Source organism: Homo sapiens, chromosome 5 (assembly GCF_000001405.40).
Source record: "Homo sapiens chromosome 5, GRCh38.p14 Primary Assembly".
NCBI classification, from domain to species: domain Eukaryota; kingdom Metazoa; phylum Chordata; class Mammalia; order Primates; family Hominidae; genus Homo; species Homo sapiens.
In genome coordinates this window covers 122,539,028-122,545,046 of record NC_000005.10, presented here as the reverse complement: position 1 = coordinate 122,545,046, position 6,019 = coordinate 122,539,028, and positions in this window count along the sequence as shown.

Genomic DNA, 6,019 nt, shown 5'->3' with positions numbered 1-6,019 from the left:
CTTTGTGCCAAAAATTGTGCTGAGTTCTGAGTATGTTACTTCTCATTTAGGAGGGAGCAGGGAATCCAGGGAAATTGGTTTCATTAAATTTCTTTGTGTTTTTATTGAAAAATCACAGAATATCATTTTCATGTTAGAAAACATATTAAACCAGGGTGATTATAATTAAAGTCTTTATTTTATTTTTATATATATATATATATATATATATATATATTTTTTTTTTTTTTTTTTTTCTTTTTGAGAGGGGTCTTTCTCTGTCACCCAAGCTGGAGTGCAGTGGTGCAATCTGGGCTCGCTGCAACCTCCACTTGCTGCAACCTCTGCCTTCCGGGTTTAAGTGATTCTCCTGCCTCAGCCTCCCGAGTAGTTGGGATTACAGGCATACACAACACCTGGCTAATTTTTTTTTGTATTTTTAGTAGAGACAGTGTTTCACCATGTTGGCCAGGCTGGTCTCAAACTCCTGACCTCAAGTGATCTGCCCGCCTTTGCCTTCCAAAGTGTTGGGATTATAGGTGTGAGCCACCAGGCCTGACCAGCAAAGTCTTTTAATTGTTTTCTTTCTCCAAACTCAGAGCAAGTTTGCTTTCTCTGTGATTTCTCTCTGTGGCTACAGAGAGAAGATTCTGAATCTGAGCTATTATGTGATGCCAGAGACAAACTCGGTGGCCTTGTCAACAATAGTGGGGTGAAAATTAGTAGATGCACAGCTTTTCTTACTCTTGCTTGCTTAAGAAGGAGAAAGTCTCTAAGGCCCTTGGTGGTCTGTGGAAATCACAGCCTTCACTGGCTGCCCACCACAGAAGTGTCTGATGTAATATTCTAGGAGTTTCAGGTAAGGGTGCCTTGTCAAGCCAAGCTTAGCGGCATCGCTCAAATGCATAAGGTAGATTTTCATGCTTGTCAAAAAGTGTTGAAATGAAGGGGTCTTAGAAACCATCTCTAAAATATGAGACTGGGGTATAACAGAGACACTGTGCTTAGACAGCATAAGGGACTTTCTTAAGGTCATATGAGAAAAGAGAGCTGGGATGAAGACTTGGGTTCTACAAAACCAGATGGACTGACTCTAGACTCTAGACCTACTTATAGGAGGGAATAAAAATGACACAAACGAGAGAAGCGCATTCAAATAAAGAGAAAACTTGAAAATGTTGTAGCAAAATTTATGGTTATAAAAGTCGCTTCCTTTCTTGGACTTGGGCAAGTAACACACTTGCTTTGAGTCTTCTCTTTTAGAGGAGTAATCAAGCAATTAATCACTGTATACAAATCACTGTGCTAGGAGCTTTGGGGGAAAAGAGAGATCATGGCATGACCTCTAGGAGCTTACAGTCTAGTGACTGAGATGGATGTGTGAATGACCAGCCACGGTGTCAAGTCAAACAAAACAGGGAATAACCACATGGGGCCTATGTATAGTTAAATAAATATCTGTGAGATAGATTATTTGGACATAAAATTTATCTTCATTAGTGCATCTTAACTGTGAAGGCCAAAAAATTAACATATAAATATTGGGGAGTAACACATCTAGGCTGAGGTGATGCAATTCAAATGACACAGTTAGTTGAGTTATAAAAGTGCTTGCCTTTATTTTTCTATCTCAAAAGGAAAAAGTGTGTAATTTATACAGACAAGTAACAAACAGACCCATTGTTTTCTTATATTTTACAACATAAGTGGTCAACTTAATATACACATCATACCCTTGATATTTCTCCTTGTGGGAATTTGTTGCAGGAAGATATATCTGCCAATACAATGTTTGTGCAGGGAGAAGGGGAATCTAACATTGATCAAATACTACTTATGTGCCAAGCATTGTCATGGATATTTTTGTTATAGGAAAGCGGTCCTGATCCAGACCCCCAGAGGGGGTTCTTGGATCTTGAACAAGAAAGAATTCAGGGCAAGTCCGTAGAGTAAAGTGGAAATAAGTTTATTAGGAAAGTAAAGGAATAAAGAGTAGCTACTCCATAGACAGAGCAGCCCTGAGAGCTTCTGGTTGCCCATTTTTATGGTTTTTTTTGATGATATGCTAAACAAGGGATGGATTATTCATGCATCCCCTTTTCAGATCATATAGGGTAACTTTCTGAAGTTGCCATGGCATTTGTAAATTGTCATGGTGCTTGTGTGAGTGTAGCAGTGAGGAAGACCAGAGGACACTCTCAACGCCATCTTGGTTTTGATGGGTCTTGGCCAGCTTCTTTACTGCAAACTGTTTTAACAGCAAGGTCTTTATGACCTGTATCTTGTGCTGACCTCCTATCTCATTCTGTGACTTAGAATGCCTTAACCATCTGGGAATGCAGCCCAGTAGGTCTCAGCCTCATTTTACCCAGCTCCTATTCAAGATGGAGTTGCTCTGGTTCACACACTTCTGAAACTTTGATGTGTTTTATCTGATGCAACCAGCGTGGTGGTCCTATAAAGAATTGTTTCTATCCCTATTTTACAGATGAGAGAATAGGACTTTAGAGAGGTTAAGTAATATGCTGAAGATCATATAGCTAATAAGTGGCACAGCCAGAATTTTAACTGGATCTGAAGACCCCAGTATCCATGCTCTAATATCATCCAACTGCTAAAGCACGATGCTGCAGAGAACAGAGAAGGAAATGATTAGTTTCAACCAAAAAGAAGGGACAACCTTTCACAAAAGAGAGGAAAGCATAAGTCAGCAGGCGGAAGAAGGAAGGAAGGAGGGAATGACGTAGCACTCAGAGGCACCACACTCCTATTTCTCATTATCCTTTGTCAAGGCTCCTGTGCCAGAGAAGCATTTGCTGTGAATAATGGTGAGTGAAGGTGGATTTGAACCCTTTCCTTCTGCAAAAGCTGGAGCAGGAGGCCAGGAGTCTGAGGGGTAGGTTTGAGTTAGAATCCACATTTGCGTGCAAGCTGAGGACTTTGGCAGTGAGGCAAGAGGCAATGATCATCTTATGTGACAGGGCTGAGTTGCAGGGAGGGGGAAGGGGGAAGTCTGGAATCTCTACATATGCAACGTAGATTACTGATGCTCAAGTTAAATGACAATTTTTGCTTATTTGCTATTTCAGTAACAAAGTGTTTCTATTAAAGGAAAACAACTTCAATATTTAATAAGGAATGTTATCTTTTATTAAAAATGCTATCAACAGAAACAAAGTGAACAAAGTAACAAAAAAATCATGAACAAGAAAAAGGTCTTAGGGCAAGATATTTTGGTCTCAGGCAATAGTCACAAAATGTTTTGTGAACTCCCTCAATATAGACAGGATATTTTTTTTTGTAATTAAGAAATTAAAGAGTAAAGATAAGAGACTCTTTACTTCTGTATGAGTGAGGACATAACTCATGCCAAACTCCTGAGTTCTTATCACTTTCCCACTATATTCATTTATCATGGGAATCTATCTGCTTATCAGACCTGTGTGAAGTAAAACATCAAAAAGCACAAGCAATCTTGAGCCCTTAAAGAAACATGAATTGGCATGACCCTTCAAAATGCATCTTCATCAACTGAAGCTATGTCAACTCAACTGTCTCACGTGACAAGAGGTTATAATGCCAAAGACTGAAGACTTAATGTTGCAGGGGAAATAGGGTCCACATTAAAAAAAGAGAGTACATTTCATTTGTTTTTACTGGGCTCTTTTCATTGTTGTTGTCTGCAACCCATTTTATACAGAATTGTTTGGCAGCAGTTTTGTGAAGGAGAAAAAGCTTAAGGGAAAAGTATGTTGCTGAAAATTTAAAGGATTATTTATTTGTGTTATATTATCTGAGATCTCATAGCCTATCTGCCTAGCTACACTGCTAAACTTCAAAAATACTAGAATGAGAAGGCGCTGGGGAATTGGTTAGCAGGAAAGGTGTGGACATAGGATTCAATACAGCATGACTGGACCCATCATAGTATTTCAAAGCCTCAAACCAACCCAGTGTCACTGCATCTCACAAAGCCAATAGGTTATTCGCTGTTATTCTCAGCTATTATTACAGCAAGGACTTACAGAAAGTTATCTGTGTACAACCCAGATGAACATTGAGTAGAGAGTAATTCAGCAGCCACATTTGAGCTCTTGCTACCAAGACAATGTTTTGCAGCATTATGCAGGAAGTGCAGTGGTGTCACAGTGGTGTCTATCCCTAGCATCTGCTTCAAGCAGAGTTTGTCCCCCTCAGCAGAGTTATAAAATCTCTCTTCACCCTGGCCTGTGGAGGAAATGTTATGCTACAGTGAGAGGTGGTGGGCACAGCCTTGCAGATGGGAAGGCTGGAGATCGGCGGCAGCACAACTCAGCCACATTGGCAGTGCATGTTGGAAGGAATCCTAGCCTTCTGTGGAGGAGCTGAGATGATGTTTTGACTAAGTACACAGCAAGATGACGAGTAAGAGACAGAAAATAGGGAGAACAAACTTTGGAGGACATATAGGAGAGATACAAGATGAACCAGACTAACCCAGAACTATCAATTTCATCACATTAGGTAAAAGTTAATCTGCAGGTTCATTAGTGGGGAGAGAAAGGAATCTGACAGCAGCACTTCTGTGTTTTTTTTTAGAGCATGGGGTCCACCCTTGAGACTTGTGAACCCTGGGGTTTCTTGGATGACCTCAGGAGGACCAGGAATCTTTTGAAACTGTTTTAAAATTTCTTGATGTTATTGTGTAAATGTACATTTTTTATAGGGAAAGGATGCTCAAATGTGTCCAGAACCCCAAAAGAAGACTGACTATTGCAATAGTCAATACATGCATAATACTTATGCACGTATAGCTAAGTACATTGCTCTTATGCAGAACGGGTTAGTCAACTCAATAAGTCAATCTCAGCACATATTTTATCATCTGAATTTTCATAAAGTCTTGAATTCAAAGATTCTTCTATGTTTTGCCATGTTGATATATGAAATTAAGCAGATGATACCTTGTGATGGGCACCAACAGTTCTATTCTGTGTGTAGACAAAGCCAGGAAAGCAACCCCTTTCCTGAACTGACCTTATGAGGTTTGGTCCCATCTGGATATGCAATAGATTGCAGCCAAAGGTTGCAAACTCAAATGCCTATAGGGGCAAGGCAGATTACAGAAGTGAGTGAACAGGTCAATTCATAACATGATAAAGTACAAATCAACACTCATCTTCTCTTTGGGGGAGACTCTGAGGAACAGTGGAGCACCTTGCAGGGAGCCGCTATCACTCAGGTTCAGCTGACATTTACCACAATGGAATACATATTCAGCATTTCCAGATCTTCTAGGGGATCTAGAGAATCTAGAGATCTGATTTTTTACACAAAAATGTCTCTTATGTTCAGAATATCCAGAAAAAGTTCTACAAGATGTATGGATCTTTATCTATTTAATGCATGACTGAGCCATAAATCTTTGTTTGAAATGACCTGGATTAAATGCTTTTAAAAGTCTTCTAAAACTTAAGGTTTATAAAACTCTAAAATTATTTTAACTTAAATAATATTATGTAAGAATATGTAGGCAGTTAGAAACTCACTGTTCTTTGAAGTTGGAGTTGGTCGTATTATCCACATAACATAGAATGCTACTAGGAAGGCACCCAAGGAGAGCATTCCTTCAGGTGTTTGGAGGGATGTGAACTTGATCCATATTGTCTACATGGACAGATAGAACCTGTGATGTTACTAAACCTAGAGAATAGCTGGTATTTTTAGAAAGGAAATTTTACTGTATGGGAAATGACACTATATGGAGCCCAAGTTGAAGGTCTGTTCCTTCCCTGAGATGGCAAGAGTGGGGCATGAACTGTCAGAACAGTGGCAGACAGACAGAAGGCTGGTGATCTGGTGAGTAGGAAGGCGTCGGATGCTCATTTTGGCAGTAGAGGCATCTCTACCAAACATGACAGTCAAGTTTCTAGCTTGCCTGGTGACACACACCAAGTCTGGAGACCCAGATACTTCGAACCTTACTCAGCCACACCCAGGAGACACTTACTCTCCCAAGCCCAGTAGCTAATGGGCAATGGTGGAAGAGAGCCCCAAGGGG